The sequence below is a fragment of the Homo sapiens genome, chromosome 15 (genome assembly GCF_000001405.40).
Source record: "Homo sapiens chromosome 15, GRCh38.p14 Primary Assembly".
NCBI classification, from domain to species: Eukaryota; Metazoa; Chordata; class Mammalia; order Primates; family Hominidae; genus Homo; species Homo sapiens.
Window position 1 is genome coordinate 63,506,993 of NC_000015.10, and position 21,388 is coordinate 63,528,380.

Sequence of the window (21,388 nt, forward strand, 5' to 3'; positions counted from 1 at the left end):
GTCGTTTCAGTGATTAAATGATGAATCTGTGAGTCCTTAACTAACTCATTATCTTGGAGTGTTATATAGTCGTATTTTTTTTCTCCCACACTCTTGATTTTATTTTATTTTTGTTTTTTTCATAGGGGACCAAAAGGGTAGCCGATGTGTTGACTAATACTGTGACTGGGTATTGAATCTGATTATGTTCTTATTAAGGAGGGGAAAATCCCTGTTTTGGCACTGGGACAATAAAAGTAATGCCCTTGCCTTATTTTCTTTGCGAGTTTGCAATTATACCACGGTAAGACAGCCAAGCAAATTGCAAAATGCCACAACATTCTAGGTTCTACCAGTTAGCAGTACCTAATTGGACAAATAGTTCTATTTTCTTTGAGTATCAGTTTCCTTATATAATCTGCAAAGAAAAGGGTAATACTTTGCATTTACTTCACAGGTTGCTGTTAGGATGAACAAGGTAATTTTTTGTGAAAACTTTGAGAAACTTGTATACACTGTTCTAGTAATAGGTGGTATTAGAGGTCAGAACATCTTTGTAAAGAGGACTCTGAATAATTAAATATCCAAAGCCCATTAAATGGGGACTAGAACAGACTGGCTTTATGCTGAATGATGCTTTACAGGGAGATACAGAACTCAACAAGATTACAAGAAGTAAGAAGTAATTATACTTCAGAATTAGCATGAGCTTCTTATCCATGGAAGGCACTGTGTGTTGGGTTATATAATTGTGTATGACAGTGGTTCTTACACTTTTTGATCTTAGGACCCCTTTACACTCTTAAAAATTGTTGAGCACCTGAAGAGCCTTCGTGTAGCTTATATCTGTTGATGATGTTTATTAGAAATTAAAACTGAGAAAAACTTAAAATATGTATTTATTAATATGCTTACAAATAATAATAGACCCACACCCATAACATAAATTGACAGTTTATGTAAAATGTTTTTCAAAACAAAAATTTAGTGGGAAGAATGGCATTATTTTGCCTTTTTGTAACTCTTTGTTCAGCTTTATAGAAGACAGCTGGATTCTTACATTGCTTCTGCATTCAGTCTCTTGAGATGTCACATCATGCAGCCTCAGGAACACCCCACTGCATGCTTGTGAGAGAATGACTGTAAACAAAAGTAACATCTTAAATATTATGTATGAAAATTGTTTTGACCTTCTGGATCCCCTGAATGGGTCCTGGAAACTTTCAGGGGTCCAGGACCACACTTTGAGAACCCACTTGTGTAAGCTATAGTTAACAGTTAAGGATACCTGCTCATATCAAAATAACTTTAAAAAATTAGAGAAATCCTTAAGGCTACCAACGTTTATGTTTCTGTAGAGACCTGAGGTTTTTGAAATGTATTAGCTGGGAAATAGAGCATGGGCTCTAGTAGTCCTTTGCTGCCAAAAAAGTTAACAGTCTAATCTAGCTGGGGGAGAGACAGGAAGCTAACTAGTTAGAAGATACATCCATGTGGTTTAAGGTAAATGTTGAAAATAGCTATCTCCTAATAACGTAAAGGCTGATTTATGTCTAATTGTTGCTTAAGGGATTCTAGTTTAAAATGAAAAAGTTTTAAATAAAAGGGCATTCTCTCAAGCTTTTTGTTATGTGCACATACCAGATGTTATTTTCAGAAGTTGGAGGCTTGGGCATTCCTTATTTTTGTGGGTAAAAGAGTTTAACCAGTGGGAAAAAACAAAAATTGTTTAAAAAGATGCCCTGAATGCAAGTGTTTTGATAACTAAGGAAAGCCAAGGACCAAGCATTTGAACTTGAGGGTTTGGGTTAAACAGCCAGTTAAATTAGAGATATTTAGTAGGATAGGCATGCTAATTTTTCCCTGATTAATTCTTCAATGAGTTGAGAGTGCCTCTTTAAGTTTTCAGTACACACTTGCCTTCATATTACTCTACCCAAGAAAAGTAAGTGTAGATCAAGTAAATGTTCTGCAATTTTGCACCAAAAACTGCAGATAATTCCACCCAAAATACTGGAGATAAACCCTTTTTTAAGAGATCCATTCAGTAGGATGAGGTGTTGATTATTGGTTGTCAGTGGTAATAAATTTGTAATGGACTGATCAGGTTGTGATAAAGAGAAGAAATCAACCTTGATGGAGTGATGGGTTATTTTGTATCGTATTTCTCCACAACCTACATTTAACACTCGTTTGCCCAGTGGACTAAATTTTCTAAATACAATCAGTCATTTCCTTGTCATTAGGTCAAATGCTTTTACTGCTTTTTAGTAACATTCTATGATGTCTTTATTAAGTGCCTAATACTTAATAGAGCAATTAGTAAATATTTGCCTGATAAATAAAGGAACTATCACTTAGATGTGTCTGGCAGGGTCTTTATGTTGAAAATAAACGCAGAGTGAACTTTCCCCAGAATGCTTTCACTAGCCCGCACTCCCAGTATTTTAGTCAGTAAACGTTGGCTGGATTGTGAGCAAATGACCATCTGCAGTGTTGTTATCACAATGAATTTGTGTTCTTTTGGCAGTCTGTATTTATAGATGGGCAGGTGGACAATTTAGTTGTAAATGTGGATGGGGTAGTTAAAAATCAGTGGACAGGTGATACTTTTTTCACATTAATTCTAAAAAGTAGTATTTGAGTTTTATATATCCTTCTGAAGAATTTAAACTTTTTTGGTAATATTTATAAAGCTTAAGTCAAATGTCTTTCTAGTCTTTCTGCAGTATTCCTCCCCAACCCCGTCCCCCAGAATCTTAGAGCAATCTCAGCTTATTTCTAGAGTCTCTAAATGATTGCTCATGGATGTGAAATGTGTGAAATTTAGAATGTGCTCCATGTATGTGTTTTGTTTAAAGAAGCTTCAGTATAGAGATTGAGCCTAACATTTACTTGTTGTGAAGAAGTTTTGACACATTGATGAGAAGTTCTTTCCCTAATAATATGCTTAATAGTGTATACAGAACATCCTTCATGGTCTAAGCAGAAGAAATGATGGAGTTGGGGGAAGAATTCGAACTCTTTGGTGTGGTTTCCTGTTATTTATCCTCAAAATAATTTATTCTCATTCTTTGCTTGTACACCATTAGCCTTAGGCTCGTGTAACAGCCTCCTTTTTCCTCATTGAAATGTATGTAATTTCCTTCTCCACTGGAATATAAAAGATTGATTTTGGATCCTTCAAGCTAGATTTAGAAATACTTATGTTTTTATAGTGTTTGCAGCTCAGTGAGTAGACCAGTGAGTAATTTAGTGTGTAGCTCAGTGAGTCATTTAAATTCCTGTTTTAAAATTTGAGTCCCTCTTCCATCAGGAGCTGATTAACATGTACATTTCCCCTAACCTAACCTGCTCGTTTTTTTTCTTTTTGAGCTTTTCTCCCCTTCTTGAGCTTGTTTGTTTGTTTTTAATATTTTTCCTTCTTTGAAAACAAAATGTTAGTCTCCTTTGATTAAGCTGCAGTCTCTGACCTACATACATACAGGTTTGTGTTCAACCAAGGCATTGAAATAAATAGATTTAGTCGGTAGATTATCATTGTTTGAAGTGGAAAAGGTATGCTGTTTAACATATTTTGATATTTTATGTTTATTCATTGCCTCTTTAGACAGGAGAGCAATTGCATTCTAGGTGTGTTAATAGAGCTTTCCTGGACAGATGGCTTGGAAGGAAGTACTTTGATGGGTTCTCAGTAGGGGCTAGTACTTTTTGGAGGGTGTGTTTGTGATTAAGCTTACCTTGATTGACAGTTTAGAATGCTGAGAATAGCATTAACAACAGTAACAGCTTGTTCATCTTACCTAGAATTGTCTTGTGCCAAGACCCCTCAAGATGCTCTGAGATTTCTGTGTAGTGGTTTCTTTTGAGAATGTAGGTAAGAATAGGTGTCCTTGAGACTGAAAAGAAATTCACCTAAAATTGTTCATTGTGGTTGTATCTTAAAATCTTTGGGGTCGTTGAATGAACTTTGGCTTAGAAATTTGTAGAGATCGTCTTTTTAACTGCTGTGAGTCTGCAGATGTGATTATCTATAGTAATTCCAGATGTTTTCTCATCTATTAGTTTTACTGAGTAGGAAGATAACTGAGAACAACATAAAGTAACTTCAAAGCAGTTTGCTAGCATTTAATCCTGACTAATTTAATTAATTATTCATCCTTGTAGTTTTTCCTATTTTATTGATTATGAAACTGAGACAAAGGTTACGAGTTGCCCAAGATGCTTGGGGAGTATTAAAGATAGCCCAAAGCTTAAACTCTAACACTGTTCAGACTTTTAGCTTGCTTTTTCTTAAAAAAAAAAAAAAAAGAGTCTTTATTTTGTTATTCAGTAACTTAATGCTTGACAATTTAAAAAATACAAAATGTTTGGAACACATACTTTAAATAATTCCTTTGAAGATTTTTGATATGAAAATATATTTTAAGTTCCACATCTCAAAAATTACTTATTTTAAAATTTGGTCTTTTGTTACCCCCCTCACCCAATTTAATATTGAAAGTGCTGGCAAGTTGGAACAAGGAATTGGTGATATAGTTTGGAAGAAACAACTATTTTAAATGTCAACCTTGTTATACTCAGATCTAATATTTTTATAGGCCGAAATTCATATTGCATTAGTTCAGACATAATAAACCAGCCTCCTCACTATAGCTATGGATAAAATGCAATTAGCTTTTGGTTATTTTTAAAATGGGTTTCAGTTATTGAAGTCTCTCCACCCCCCTTATTTTTTCATTTTGTTTCTGTTAGAGAAGATTCTTCTTGGAGGTGGTTTGTTGTAGGGTGGAGGAAGGAGAGAATTCTTAAGGTATAGAATTTTGCATTTGCTTCTGGTAGCTCAGAGATTATTTGAAATCTTTGCTTTTAGTCAGTATACTTTGTTGATTCCATTTAGTTATTCTAAGATTTTCCAATTGTATTTCCTGTAAAAGTTATAGTCTTTAGACCATAAAAACTAAAACTAGTAACTGCAGATCTTTTTTTTTTTTTTTTTTTTTGAGATGGAGTCTCACCCTGTTCCCCAGGCTGGAGTGTGATGGCACGATCTTGTCTCACTGCAACCTCCGCCTCTCGGGCTCAAGTAATTCTTTGCCTCAGCCTCCTGAGTGGCTGGGATTACAGACGCACACCACCATACCCGGCTAATTTTTTGTATCTTTAGTAGAGTCAGGGTTTCACTCAAATTCCTGACCTCGTGATCCTCCTGCCTTGGCCTCCCAAAGTGCTGGGATTACATGTGTGAGCCTCCGTGCCTAGCCAGTAACTGCAGATCTTAAAACAGATTTCCCCTCTTCTTCTTCTTCCTCTTCTTCCTCTTCTTCTTCCTCCTCTTCTTCTTCTTCCTCTTCTTCCTCTTCCTCCTCTTCCTCCTCTTCCTCTTCTTCTTCTTTCTTCTTTCTTCTTTCTTTTTCTTCTTTCTTCCTTCTTCTTCTTTCTTCTTTCTTTTTCTTTCTTCTTTCTTCCTTCTTTTTCTTTCTTCTTTCTTCTTCTTCGGAATCTCACTCTTTGGCCAGGCTGGAGTGCAGTGGCACGATCTCAGCTCACCGAAACCTCCACTCCCAGGTTCAAGTGATTCTCCTGCTTCAGCCTCCCAAGTAGTTGGAATTACAGGCAGCCACCACCATGCCTGGCTAATTTTTGTGTTTTTAGTAGAGACGGGGTTTCACTGTGTTGGCCAGGCTGGTCTTGAACTCCTGACCTTGTGATCCACCTGCCTCGGCCTCCCAAAATACTGGGATTACAGGTGTGAGCCACTGCACCAGGCCTCCCCCTTTCTTAAGATACAAGGAAGTGTATCTTTTCAGTGTGTGCTCTTTATGGATGTATACAATGCAGATGAATTTAGGAAGGCAATTTCAGATTTTGAAAACTGTTGAAATTAAACTTGAACATTGAAAAATCAAATTTGCAGTTGTCTTAAGTGTTTGCATTAGTTAGATGCTTCACAATTAATAAATACTAGCTAATATAATTTTATAAGACCCTTTGAAGAGGGAATTGTGAGTTTATTTTTAAGATAAGCCAGGTTATATCAAAGATATTGTAACCAACTAGATTTTATTTGGAGACTTTGTACTCTGCTTTAGAATCCAGTAGCTCTATCAGTGTGAGCTGTTTCCATTCTTGAGTAGAAGTTTTCTCCTGTTATTTTTTCTTTGTTCTAGCTGGGTTTAAGACAGCCTTCTTTGTAGAAATTGTTGGCCTGTTTATCCTTCACCCACCCTGAAGACACTTAATTTTATGGACTGTTCTTGTACTGCCTCATCACCAGAAAAAGCAGGCTGGAAATTAACTGTCATATTCCCGCAGGTTTAATTTAACTGATTATAAGAAAGTACAGTTATTGTTCTACCTTCTTTAAATCTTTGTCCTTGATGACCAAGCTCAGGTTTTTATTTTTGCTTATTTATTTATTTTTTGGAAATGGAGTCTCACTCTGTCACCCAGTCTGGAGTGCAGTGGTGCAGTCATAGCTCGTTACAGCCTGGAACTCGCGGGCTTAAGTGATCCTTCCACTTCAGCCTCCCAAGTAGCTGGGACTCCAGGCATGTGCCACCACGCTCAGCTAATTTTTAAATTTTTTTGTAGAGATAGGGTCTCGATGTTACCCAGGTCTTGAACTTCTGACTCTGAGTGATCTTTCCACCTCAGCCTCCCAAAGTGCTGGGATTACAGATATGAGCCACCAGTCTGGGTGGGTTTTCTTTTTTAAATAATAGATTTAAATTGTTCATTACTTTGTTTTGAACATTTGTTGCACAATGCCGGAGTAATATTTTGATTAAAGTTTTTGAATATCAAGTTGAAATTTCTAGAAAACAAATTTCTGACTTGGAATGTTTCCCTGAGATAATCGATGGATGACATGTTAGAAAAATGTTCTACTATATTAGGCATTTAAAAAATAACTGTATAATATAGAGACTGTGGGAGCAACAATGGTACAAATTGCTGGTTGAGCAAATTTTAATTTTAGTTGCACACAGTAAAATGTTCTTTGGTTTCATTAAGATTAACTCTTATTTCCATGTGAATTATTTTGGATATTAATAGTGAGATGCTTTAGCATTGGAGAAATTGCTTTATAAAAACTGAAGGATCAGACTTCACCTTAAGTGTATGAAGTAGCTGCCAGACCTCAACATTCGTGCCATGAGAATTTAATTCTGAGAGCTTAAATGCGTTAGTTTCATTTTATTTGCTTTGAATGTTTTGTTTATATATAGTTTTTTTTAGAGCCTCATTTAAAAAATATATGTATTTCTAGTTTTTTTCTTCGAATATATAATACAGATTTTTGGGAAAATGTGGGTCATGTTTGAAAATTCTATCGATTGTAAAAAAAAATTCCGACTCTTGGTTTTGGTTAAATAATTAGAACAGCTATTTAGAAAAACTGAAATAGTTAATGGTTTTGGAGTTTGCAGGTGCCTGTTTTCTGAAATATTGATTATCTATCCCTCGGGCAGAGTATACGTATTTGCCAAGTTTGTATTTCTTTTTTCTATTTCTTCAAAATAAGTCCCGTTGATTTTAAAAGAATAAAGAGTTTCCCAGTAAGTACAAGTGTGGTACTTTTTCCCCCTCCACTTTGTACTTTAGTGTTAACCTTTATTACATAACCACAGAGAATGAGGAAGAGAATTGTACAATGCAGATATTAAGCCTATTGTTCTCCAAGGAAAGTCTTTGATGTTAAGAGGTCCCTAAACCTCTTAATTATTTTATTTACTTGTGAGAGGGGGTGCTTCCTTAAATATATACGAGTCTTTTCTTATATTGCATACACTTGCAACTATTATTTTGAAATAATAGTTGAGTGGTGTTTACATTTATGACCTGATTCATGTCTTTTGAAGTGCCACCACTGTTTCACCATGGACTTGCTTACTCAGGTTGTTGGCAACAGCATGGAATTGCATCAGATCTTGCTGTATTAAATAAATGAAGATATTAGATGTCAGAATTTTTAAGTAGTTCATGGCTTTTGTTTTTATTTTCTATATGATCAGCTTCATAGGGAAAGTTATTTTTGAAACAATTTGAGCTCCTAATAATTTTTTGAAGCTATTTGTGTCTGGTCTTCCAAAGGCAAAAATGGCCCATTTTGACTCTGATTTAGTAATCTCCTTTGGCTTTAGTGGTTTTTATCCTTCCTCCCACTATCCTTTCCCCTCGTTTAGAGGTAGGAGGAGCCCAGTTCCAGTATTTAAAATGAAGATCAAGAGTGGCATAATAGCTTCATTAGGTGTTTTTCACCAAAATAGGTCTGAATAAGTCTGAATTTGTGGTAGAAGGAACCATAACAAATTTGTTTAGTGCATTACAGTTTTTGAGAATATGTTGTTTCACACACATTGTTTCTATATGTTGTTTCCATTTCATGGTGAAAGCATAAGGAATCCATTTAAAAATAGAGTAAAATGCTACAGCCAGTTGGGGGTTGGGGGCAGCCCCGTGGACCAGAATTTGCCTCTGTGTGGGAAGTCAGCAGGACCAGATGCCCCTCTCTTCTTTGGCTCTGTAGGTATCTGGATCTCTTAACATATAGATGACAAGTTTTGGCCAGCTTTGAAATTACATTTGCTAGTGGAGGACACATATCATTAACTCTGCAGTGGGAATAAGGAATTCAGTAGGTGCCTGACCCCAAATGATAAACTGCTATTCTAATTTTTATGCTGTGTAATATATTTTAGACTTTTTAATAAAAAAGATAAAAATTGAGCAATTTCATGAATTGTTATGTTACATCAATTTACCATATGAAGATTAATTCATGTTTTCAGAACAGTAATACACATTTCTGAAATATACAGAGACAGGTAATAGTATCAAAGGGCTTAAAATAGAATTTTAGTCTTCCTCGCCTCCACTCTCAGTCCTGCTGTCCACAGACAATCTCTGTAGGCTCTATTTAGCATTCTCTCTCATATTTACCTGCATAATTCTAACCAATGCTCTGTTATTTCTTAATTTGTCATTTTTAGGTATTATTCCTTGATATCTTGCTGTGGTAAATGAAGACTTCAGTGTTTGCACCACTTGCCCTTCAGTCTCTCCATTTCCCAATATAATTAGATTACATATTTTGGTTACTATAGTGATTCATTTTTCTTTCTTGTCCAACATTTTATTTTTTCTTGAGTCAATAATTGCCTCTTTTAAAAATTGCTTAGTTTACCTTAGACACATTTTCTCTTAAATGTTCCTTTAAACCTGTCAAAGGTCTGTGAATATTATTTTTTAACCCATTCAACGGATTAGATAATCTCCAAGCACTAACTCTTTTCTAAAATCCTTTCCAGAGCCCTCTGACCTCTGCTGTCATTTGAAATAGTTCTCCAGGCTGGACAGTTTTTATCGTGTGATTCCCTCTGTTGTTCTCTTATAATATTAGATCCCTTATTTCTTGGATCCCATGTCTTGTTTTTCTTGGTTTATTTCATTGTTTTGCTGGAGTACATCAAGCTCCTTTCTCACAGGAGGTAATTTTTTTTTCTCTAATTGCATGGCACATTAAGGGAGGTAAATTTTTGAGCCTTTGCAAGTCTGACATTTTTATTTTACCTTTATACTTGATTGCTTGGCTGAATAGAAAATATTAGTAAGAAAATAATTTTCCTTTAGAGTTTTAAAGGCATTGTTGGTTTGTTTCTAGGCTCCCAGAGTTGCTGTTGAGAAACCTGATGCCTTCCTGATTTCCTCCTCCACATATGTCCTTTTATTCTTTTTCCTATAATTCTTTAAGGTATTCTTTTCATCCTCTGTATTCTGAAATTTCAAAATATGGCTGGGCATGGGTAGTTTTTTTTTTATTTTATTTTTAATAGGAAGTGAAGGGATTTTTTTATGTATAGGTTCACATCCTTGAGTTAAAAGACATTTTTTTGTACTATAAATTTGATAGTGTGCTCCTCCCCCCATACTTATATCCCCCAATTTATTCTTTTTTTTCTTTCTGGAACTCTTATTAGTTGGATGTTGGGTGTCCTGAGTGTAGTCTCTGATTTTCTTATTTCTTTGCCTTTTGGTTCTAGTTTCTGGTATATTTCCTTGATTTTTTTTTTTATTATATTATACTTTAAGTTTTAGGGTACATGTGCACAATGTGCAGGTAAGTTATATATGTATACATGTGCCATGTTGGTGTGCTGCACCCATTAACTCGTCATTAGGCTTATTTAACATTAGGTATATCTCCTAATGCTATCCCTCCCCACTCCCCCCAATTTCCTTGATATTTTTTCTTCCATTCCTTCTGTTGAATTTTGATCATTGTATTTAAAAATTTTAAGAGCTCTTTCTCATTTCCCAATCATTCCTTTTTCACATATCCTCTTGCTATTGTTTTGCAGTATCTTCTCTTACCACTCCAGCAGTTCAGAGTATGTTGGTTTTGAAGTTTTGCTGTGCTCCCTGTATGGTTTCTATTTCTCCTGGGTTCCTCTTTTTCTTTTTAAAATGATTCTTTCAGATTGGAGGTTTTCTATAAAGATCTGTTTTGTCTTTGTCTTTTCATATAACAGTGAACTTTTTCATGTAAAAAGCTTTGTAACTGGGTGGGGCTTGTCCACAGTGGGCTTCACTGTGAGGTGGGGAGCAAGTCACCTTCATTGGAGGAAGACACTCATATCTGTGCTGAGAATTTTTTCTGGTACCATTGAGTTTTTCGGTTTTCCCTCTGGGAGGTGGGCACCTGGCCACTGATGTTCTGAGATCAGATTGCAGAAGTTCCATGACTCAGTTGTCCTTAGAGTCCCTAGTCTCCTTGTGTTCAGTCCTGTCCTTACCTGCTGTCTGCTGTGTCCCTATACCTAGAGCTCCTCCCATCTGCATTCTTCCTGGCTGACACTCAGGCCATAGCTTCCTCTGCACTACTAAGATTGTTATTGCTCCCCTAACTTCTTTCTCACTTACAAAAAGCTGTTGAAATCTTTTGTCTGCTTTGGTTACCTCACACTGTTCTCTTTATCTTTGTGGGTTTGTATCTGTTTTTTTCCTTTATTGTCATTTAAGTGGGTCTTAGGTGGGAGAAGAGCTAAGTAGAATTTGCCACGTTTAGTTTAGTGTCCATTTTTAAATGTATATCATTTGTAATCCTGTTTTTAGGGCACAGTGTTTTGCCCTATCAGAAATGGATCTTATTAGTTACTCAGAGTTAAATCATTGAACTGAAATTTTACATTAATCTATTTGAATAAAAATTTATATTCAGATTTACCTTCTCTGATAAATAGAACAAAATATTGTTGCTGTTATCAGAGTCAGCAGAGAAAATAGGCAAGCCAGGGGGTTCGACCTTGCTTGGAAAGTCAGATCACAAGCCAGGCTTTGGATAGGTATATGCCTGTGAAAGAAAGTTGTAAGGTCATTGGGACTACTGCAGTTAATGCATTGTAATACTTTTATTGGACTAGCTCATCATTCATTAATGAAGGCAAGTTAGTGCCAGGTTTATAGGATTTTTGGCTCTGTACATTGGTAATTTAACCTTCTCCCTTGTGTTTTAGTTTTTAAAAAGTATGATCTTAATTGGAAGTAAAGGACACAGATTTTTAATCTCAGAATTTAAAAAGACTTTTGATTTTGATATAATTTTATACTCAGAGAAACACTGCTAAGAATAGTACATACAAAGAACTTCCGTATACTTAGATTTGCCAGTCGTTCACATTTTGCCTCATTTGTTTTATCATGTATATATTTACTCTCTGTTTATATATTTCCCCTTATTAATTTACAGATATAACACTCCTTTATCCATAGTTTTGTTTTTCCCCAAGAACAGGTCTCTTTTTTTTTTGGGACGGAGTCTTGCTCCGTTGCCCAGGCTGGAGTGCAGTGGCGTGATCTCGGCTCACTGCAAGCTCCGCCTCCCAGGTTCACAGCATTCTCCTGCCTCAGCCTCCTGAGTAGCTGGGACTACTGGCACTCACCACCACGCCCGGCTAATTTTTTGTATTTTTAGTAGATATGGGGTTTCACCGTGTTAACCAGGATGGTCTGGATCTCTTGACCTCATGATCTGCCCGCCTCAGCATCCCAAAGTGCTGGGATTACAAGCGTGAGCCACCGCGCCTGGCCGGGTCTTTCTTTTCAATCAGCAGAGAATATTGGTCAAATCAGGACAGTTGATACTGATAGAATGCTGTTACCTAATGCACATTCCATGTTCAGATTTCCTCAATTGTCCCAACAATGGCCTTCATAGCTATTACTCCTTTCTGTTTACCTCCCCAGCCACCCTGGATCTAATCCAGGATCATGTGTTATATTTAGTTGTCATAGCTCTTTAGTTTTCTTTCATCTCCAATAGTTCCTCAGCCTTTGTTTTTCATGTCTTGGCTTTTGGCTTTTTTTTTTTCTATTCTAACATCATAATGTCTTGTTATTTTTGAAGAGTTCATTTCAGTTATTTTATAAAATGTTCTTCAGTTTGAGTTTTCAGAGGTTTCTTCATGGTTAGATTCAGGTAATGCATTTTTGGTAGGAATACCACAAAAGTAATGTTGTGTCTTCTCAGGCATCATATCAAGAGTTGGTCTGTCTTGTTTTTGGTGATACTAACTTTGATTACTTTATTAAGGTAATATTTGGTAGGTTAATCAGCTATAAAGTTACTATTTTCTCCTTTGCTATTAAGAAGTAATTTGTGGGAAATGTTTTTAGATTATGTATATACCTCGTTTCTTACCAAAGTTTTACCCAGTAGTTTCACATCCATTGATGATTCTTGCCTGAATCAGTTATTAGTAGGATGATTGCAAGGTGATGATTTTCTGACTCGTAATTCTTTTACATGTTAGTTGGCATTCTGCTATAAGAAAGAACTTTCTCCCCTGCTTACTATTAATTTGCTTACTTATCTTAATAAGCACTCGGTTTTTTTTTATTCTAAGGTACTCATCATTATTTATTTTGAGGCTCAAATTAGCTTATATTTAGCTGGTGGGAGCACCCTTAAGCTGTGATTTGGGCACGCGCCGTCATTCTTTGAGCCCTTTTTACTTTCTCGCACAAGATGTTCCAGGCTCATCTTGTACTTAGCCTGTTGCAGCCTTGGAATTAGCCATTTCTCCAAGTAGCCCTCATTCTTTTTGGCTGGGAATAATGTTTATAAACTAAGATCTCTCAGCACAGTAGAGCTGAGAAATATAAATAAATAAGCATATCTACATCTGTTTATGTCTGTGTGTATTTGTGTGTTTATCACCATGATTTTATACTGATACCTACAATTTCATTCAACACCACAAGCCTAGTCTTGCCCCTTTCCATATTTGTAACACCTTTCTCCAACAGTAAGAACTGGTTCCCATTATCTACAATGAGTGTGTACTCATTTGCACAATTCTATAATCAGAGAAAATAGTTCCAGAATTGCTAACCCATACCATTGTAAAGAAAACCCCTTATAACTCAAGTTCAAATTTGTTTACAGTTCTTTTTGTCTGTATACTGAAAACATAAAAAGTACTATGTTAAAAAGCTATTTGGTTTAGTTTTAGTCTCCCTTTTAATACACTTATTTAACATAAAGTTTGTTCATTTGTTTGTTTGATTTCTGTTTTAGATTTTTTTTTTTTTTTTTTTTTTTTTTTGAGATGGAGTTTTGCTCTTGTCCCCAGGCCGGAGTGCAATGATGCAATCTCGGCTCACTGCAGCCTCCGCCTCCCAGGTTCAATCGATTCTCCTGCCTCAGCCTCCCGAGTGGCTGGGATTACAGGCGTGGGCCACCATGTCCGGCCAATTTTTGTATTTTTAGTAGAGACAGGGTTTCACCATGTTGGCAGGCTGGTCTTGAACTCCTGACCTCAAGTGATCTGCTCACCTTGGCCTCCCAAAGTGCTAGGATTACAGGCATGAGCCACCATGCCTGGCCCCATTTTAAGATTTTTAAAATCTCATCCTTACTGATTTTATTTTGCTTTTTGAGTATATAAAACATTATCATGGTTCCAAAAGTTAAAACTACACAAAAAGCTGTGCTAAGCAATGTCACTACCTAATGCCGGCCGCTCACTCCTACCCACCCCCTGTAGACAACCAATTTCATTAATTTCTGATTGATCTTTCCTGTGTTTCTTTTTGTAAAGAAAAGCAGGTGGGTATTTTCTTTTTTTCCCTCACAAAAGATAGCAAACTAGATACATTCTTTTGGACTTTTTTTTTTTTTCATTTAGCTGTATATCCTGGATGTCACTCCATGTTTGTAGGAATTTTCCTTATTCTCTTTTTTAAAACAGCTTCTAGTACTCCATCTGTGGATGTGCGACAGTGAATTCAACCCATCTCCTATATGTGGGCATTTAGGTTGTTTCCAATATTTGTAGTTACAAATAATGCAGCAGTTAATACCCTTGTACAAAGATATTTTTGTATTATCAGGTATCTTCAGGGAAGAACACACAAAAAAATTAACTTTTTAATTGTGTGAGCAGCAATATGTAAGATAATACTTCAAGCTATTTGTCTGCCTACTCCACACTTCCACTGTGGTCTTAGAAATGTATCCAAGGCTGTTGAAGTGAAATACTTATCTATCGTAATTATTTTTCTGTTGGGAAACCTTGAAATTAGAGAGCTGGAAGTAGCCTTGGGGACATTTTTAGTCAAGTAGTAGCCGATCATAGGCCCTGGGTCAGGGTTCATTTTAAGCAGTTAACTGTTCCTTGTACACACTCATCAGTGCTTTTCTGTCAGCTCGGCTCAGACCAGCTGTTTCGGATACTTCTCTCTTCCATTTAATTTAATTCACAAGAGGTTCCTTCATGTTGAACTGTTGAGTGGCCACTCCCTGGAGTTATAGAATGGCAGTAGGACAAGACAATTATACATGGGATAGAAATAAGGATTTCAGCATCTGTTTTCTCTGATAGGCCTCAGAGGATTGATGGTTATGAACTGTAGATCGTCAGAGGAATGGCATCTTGGATTCCCAGATGCTGCTGCTGGTCTCCTCCGGTGATTTGTTTATTTGAGACAAAATCTTGCTTTGTTGCCCAGGCTGGAGTGCAGTGGCGCTATCTTAGCTCACAGCAGCCCTTACCTTCCACGCTCAAGTTATTTTCCCGTTGTAGAGGCGAGGTCTCACTATATTGCCCAGGCTGATCTGGAACTCCTGGTCTCAGGCGATCCTCCTGCCTTGGCCTCCCAAAGTGTTGGGATTACAGGCATGAGCCACTGTGCCCAGTCCTCTCAGGCGATTAATGACTTCTAGTCTTTTGTTCCAGCTAGTGAACATTGGAGTAGAAGGGAGACGTCCTCCTGCATTGCTAGATAACCACGTAAAAGGTTGGCTAGCATAGCTTCCCATCAGAGGGGCCACAAGTGGATTACATATGTGTTGAAATAAATGATCCCCTCAGCCTAGAGGTGGCTGTGCTCCCAGACAAATCATTTCTGGCTGTGAGAAGCCTCTTCAGTTAATGTGCATGTGTCATACAGATATTTTCTATGCGTGCCCTGACATGGGAAAGGTTGGGAAAGTAGGCTAAAGCACAGTCTCAAAATTAGCCTCTAAGGATGTTGCTAAACCAAGGATATTGCTCCTTAAAGAGAACCAGGTAATAGAGTGAAGAGGAATTGAATTATTTAGGGTAGAGGTTAAAACCTACTTGTCCATAAAGATAAGCTGATAACCATATCTTAAATCTGGTGTGATATGAAATTCTTACTCACTTCTTTGCTAAAACAAAGTTAGAAATTAAAATGTATTTCTAAGTGACTTGGCTTGTAACCCCATTTTATTGGATATTGGAATATAGAACAGTTCACATTAAAGAACTTAGCATCTTTGTTCATTTGAATTTTGACATTTTATTCATTGCTATACTGATAATGTACTGGCAGTGCACTAAATGAAGTAGATACCAAGGGTATATTATGGTTGATGAGATTAGTGAACCAGGATTTAATGTCTTTTCTGAATACTTCTGAGTTTGATGTATTCTAATAAAGTTTTGACACTTGAGTTGCTTCTGTACTTAAATGTTTTACCTGAGTGGCATTCTATTATCTAAACCTTATCTGTTAAAATGTGCTTCTAAAATGCATTTTTCCTGAAGTATTTTACATTAGATACGTAAAATTTAATGATTCTGACATTTAAGGTGGTTATAACAGTTACATCAATTTTGAAATAAGCTTATTAAAATTGAGTATTTGGTGTTTTGAATATAATTTAATTTAATTCTGGTGTAGGAGGATTTTGAGGGAATGGAACTGACATTCACTGAGTGCTTTCCGTTGATTAGGCCCTGTGCTGTGTGCACTTTATGTAGTTTATCTCATGAAATCTTTACCATAGCCATGTGAGGTAGAAGGTGGGATTTGACCCATTTCACAGAGAGGAGGCAGGCTCTGGAACGAACTTAGCGTAAGGTCATAGAATAAAATAGTAGAGCTACAACTTTAAGACAGTTGGTTCTGAAGCCCGTGCTTGATACAAGTCACATGACCTGTATCATATTTATTTTGAGTCTGCAGTGGAACAAATTCCTACAAAGGCAACTCATTCTGTTTGGTACATTTTTGTATAAAAGAGGGAAGGAATTCTTCTCGAAGGGTTCAAGGGCAGGTGATAAAGGAATTTGGCTAGTTCAGCTAAAACAATGTGGAGCAGAGTTTCCTGGTCACTGTGCCCCTTCCTTTTTAGGTCAGTTGTGGAACAATTTGCTAGGAATTTTGTGAGAAAATTGTGAGTAGTTCCAGCTTACAAAGGCCTGGGATCAGGCATTGCTGGGCATGATGGGGATCAAGTCATGCTGGCTGAGGAATATGTCAGAACTCTTGGGGTAAAGAGAAATAGAAGCAGAATGAGTAATGTTCTCAAGTCTTGTAATTATTTAGAAGCATTTTTCCAAGTTCAACCTTCAGTAAAGCCTGGGGTTTCCTAGAATGCTTATTAAGTAACATAATCCAAAGAAGCAAAAGGAAGGAAGGATAAGGATTTGTGCCTTTTAATGAAGACAAAAGGAATTTCTGCCACTGTTTATGGCACTTTCTTAAGAATCTTTACCTAGAATTTGGGATTTCTATGGAAATAGTGCTTTTGAAAATTTGAAGGTTTTAAACTTACTTGTTACTGAGTTATTGTTAGGAATGATGTTTGTGCTCAAGAATTAGGTTGTCCTGAGATAGAGGTGGCACATCTAGATTTGAGTTATTAAAATATTGATGTGATACACAAAGATTTAGTCCAAAGGACAGTGGCAGCTTAGTTGAAGATAAATATCAAGTCTTTACTCTCACTACTTCTGTTGTAGAGGGAGTAGTATAGTCATTGGATAGCTTTGAATCCTACTGGGTAAAACCTTCTGAAGTTTCTTTTGCATCCTCACTTTTCCTAAACAACAGGTCAGTCATTCCAGTGAGTTGTTTGGTGGGTGTGGATGATGCTGCATCACTGATACTGCTCCCTCTGTTAAGTGGTGGTCTGGTTATCTGTTGCTGCATGACAAACAGCCATACATCCTAGAAGCCTAAAGCAACCATTTCATTTTGCTTATAATTTTGTGGGCCAAGAATTCAGGAAGAACTTGCCTGGGATTGCATCAGGTGGAGAACGTGGACTCACAGAGTTACCAGACGTGTGTTAAGAAGACACTTTGGAGGAGGATGTTCTGGAGTCTTCTTAACTCACCTGTCTGGTACCTCTGTGCTCCTTGGTGTCTCTCTGTCCCCCAGTGGTGTCATAATCTCCCCAGTCTCCCTGCACATGGTTTGGGCTTCTCTCAGCATGTTGGTCTCTGGGTAATTAGACTTCTTACATGGCGGCTGGCTCTCCCAAGAGCAAGCATTTCAAGCAATAGCAAGAGGGAGCTGTGGATTTCATAAGGCCTGGAGTTGCAGGTTGACATAGAATCACTTCTGCCATATTCAGTGCGTTGGGGCAGTCACAGAGCCTGCCCAGATTCGGAGAATGAGGACATAGACCCTGTCTCTCCATGGGAAGAATGTCAAAGAATTTGTGGCCATCTTTAATCTACCACAAGGCCATTAAGCAAAAAGGAGAGGGTTGTTACAAGAAATGCTGAACTGACTTTACCAGCAAATGTAAGCCTACTTTATATAATGATTCAGAAGAGACTGATTGTCAGGAATAAGAAAGGGATAGAGGCAAAAGAGAGCCCCCAGAAGGAGGAAAGTGGAAAAATTTTTCATGGGAAAGTGGAAAGGCAACCAAGATAAACTTTGCTTCATAATTTTATCTTTCCTGCCTTGGACCTGAATTCAGTCTTGGTTCTGTGATCTTGCCCTTGAGTCCCAGGTGGCCACTTCTGACCACTTTGGATTTGGTGCTCATGCCTGGTCTCCTCCCCAGTATCAGGACCTCTGGTTGGCTTCCCAAGCTCTATATTGGTCACCCCTTTGACCCTAAGTATCTCCTGTTGCCCTTTATGAGAACTCTCCTGTTGCCCTGTTCCCTGGGAACCTAACCATCCTCTTTCAGAATGAGCAGCATTGTTGGGGCTGGGGAGACATCAGACACTGATTTTGGCTGCCCTCGGACTGCCTGGGCACCTTGGCAGTTGCTTCATGTAGCTTGATTCCTTCTTTTCTGGATTACATTATGGCTCAGTTCTTGCTCTCTTTTTGTGACTTTACCAACTCCTCCCCCTAATAATTTCAAGGGACTCAAGTTATAGATAGAAGAGACTTCTGAAATTTCAGCATAGAATAGGCTTGTGAACATGCAGTTCAGAGAGGATTTATAGTGTACAGAAGATTTTATGTCTTGCTTTTAAGCATCTAAAAATGTTTCATTTGGAAGGTAAGTTAGGTCCGTCTGGAATATATTTTTACTTATATGTACTGGAATGTTTATAGAATTTTTATGATGATACTGCCCTATCCTCCAGTTTTAAGAGGAATAACAGTTTTACTATTGATACTTTCACGATGTATGTGTGTGTTTTAATAACTGCTGCAAAATTTCAAAATTTTCATTGATTATAATTTTACAAATCCATAGAGCTATAATCTTGGATTTTGATTTAACTTTCCACTCATGCTTGAAAATTTAGAATAAGTTCATTTTATTAGGACTTTATAATACCAGTATCTTTAAATTTAAAACACTTTAAATTTAATTTTTATTATAAAAGAAATAATGCTGTTTGAAAAACTTTTAACAGTATAGTGGCTCCTATCCCCATGTTATTCCTTTTACATAGCTGATAACAGCTACTTCCAGTCTTTAAAAAATTTATATGCCGGTATGTAGTACATACATAGACTCAGAAACACATAGCATGTTATCTTTTTAAAACAAAAGTTTTAGTTTCCTGGACGACTGCTTTGCAACAGTCAGTGCCTTGAAACACTCTATGAGTTTAATTTCCAGCCCTATCACTTAGTAATTTAGCAAGTTACAGTACTGCTCTGTGCCTCAGTTTCCTCTTCTGTAAAACAGACCAAATGATGGTCTGTACCTCATTGGATTGTAGAAGATTAATTAGCACCTGTATATAGCACACAGTATGTACTATATAAATGTTAACTAAATGAAAATGAACTTGCTTAAAAAACATATCCTAGATGTTTCCTTATGGGTTGCTAATATTTTTAGAGTGTTGCACTTTAAAAATTGTGTAGGCGGGTGGTTCTTGAGTTTCACTGTTGTAGCAGCATGTTTGTCTGTAATGATCTTGAACAGTGATTCCACATACTTCCCACACCCTTGTTGCAGTGAGTTGCTGTTACTGATGGGCAATGTGTTTGTGTCTCAGGGATGATGGGAGGCAAGAAAAAACTTGAAAACCATTGGTTTAGAAAATTATACTACATTAGCAGTTAATCTTTTTGTTAAGCCTTTTAAGAGACTTAGGCAGAAAGTAGAGTTGGAAGGATTTTATTTATGGGGGATGATGATATGATTGTTTCATCTAACTTTTGCCAGTCCTTATGTTCTTTAAATTATTTTACTTTGAGACAGGGTCTTGCTTTGTCGCCCAGACTGGAGTGCAGTGGTGTGATCTCGACTCACTGCAGCCTTGACTTCCTGGGCTCACGGGATTCTCCCGCCTCAGCCTCCGGAGCAGCAGGGACCACAGGTGTGCACCACCATGCCCGCCTAATCTTTTTTTATTTTTAGTAGATATGGGGTTTCCCTGTGTTGCCCGGGCTGGTCTTGAACTCCTGGGCTCAAGCAATCCTCCCACCTTGGCCTCCCAAAGTGCTGGGATTACAGGTGTGAGCCACTGTGCCCAGCATGTTCTTTGAATAATTTTATAATTTAGAGGGGACATGATCATCACCTACTCTTCATTTTACACTAAGGAAATAGACCCAGAATGGTAGTGATGTTCTCTCTTCTGTAGCTAGTAATGGTAGAGCCAGAACTAGAATCCCGGTCATCTGATCCTCATCTTTCTGAATTCTTGAGAAGAAAAAGAGCCTTCTCTCCCAGTTGAAACAGCTGTGAATAATGGATGCACTATAAATGGCTTACCTGTCAGTGCCATGTGCTTAAACTATTCTGTGTAGAGACAGTGATGAAGTTGTGTCATAAGCGGTCATGTATGATGTTTTGTCCAAAAATTTAGAATTCCAGACTTGTTGGTAGGCCTCGAATATCAAATATCCTCTATTATGAGATTCTCTGTATGCATACTAACAGGATATTGAAGATCAGTGGCTATGTAGAAATAACATATTCAGTGTGGATGTGCTTTTGTTTTAAGAACTCCTTTTCTTGTGAACACAACCTGAAAAGATGCATGGATTAATTAGGCCTCTATAGGCACAGAACTCCCTGGTTTCTGCTCCGGTCTCTCTTGATAAAGGGCCATCTGCCCTTCCGTATAGCACGGACTAAACCACTTTTGGCCTCTAGGTCACTTAGATGCCTTTGTGTGCCTTCGGTTCTCATCTGGTTTTCAGGAGAGTTAAATGTTTAAGTGGTTTTAGGAGGAAGACTTGAGTCTGAGACATGTTTTAGAGGCTGGGGCTCTTCCCACCCTCTCCATGGCCCAGCATATGTGATAGCTTCTACCTTCTGGAGAATGGCTCTAGCTCAGGAGAGGATAGAGCTTCTTCATCTCCTCCATGCAAAGGAGCCCTCCTGCCATCTTGAAGAGCTTGAGGCTGAGGTGAGAACAGGGACAGAGGAAGATTCTGAAGCCGTAGCTGAAGAGGAGGCAGTGAAAGGAGCCTAGTGAGTATCAGCCTCTGGACTGAGAAGTGAGACACTGCAGTCAGGGTTGGAAGAATCCAAGTAAACCGAAGAAATTTGCTGGAGGACGGGGTATCTTGGTTTGAGGAAATTTTACAATCTGAGTAAAAGATGAGTTTCACTTATGAGACTCCCAGTCACACCGCTATGGCCAAGTGTGAGAAATAAATTGCATGGCTTCCTTTTCCCTGACATCACCTTGAAGTGTAATTGGATGTATTA

At 37.5% G+C, this 21,388-nt stretch overlaps 1 protein-coding gene across 9 annotated transcripts in view; it reads left to right on the forward strand.

The window, feature by feature from the left end:
• Positions 1 to 21,388, forward strand: part of USP3 (ubiquitin specific peptidase 3) — a 90,041-nt gene that overhangs the window by 2,400 nt on the left and 66,253 nt on the right. For 2 of the 9 annotated variants that reach the window (XM_047433393.1, XM_017022765.2), the window contains exon 1: positions 4,984 to 21,148. The exons of 5 other annotated variants lie outside the window; for them this stretch is intronic. The gene's annotated coding sequence lies outside the window, so the exon portion shown is untranslated. Of the gene's footprint in view, positions 1 to 4,983; positions 21,149 to 21,388 lie in introns of those variants that run through there. 2 more of the 9 variants (XM_017022763.2, XM_017022764.2) reach the window with 1 other exon arrangement.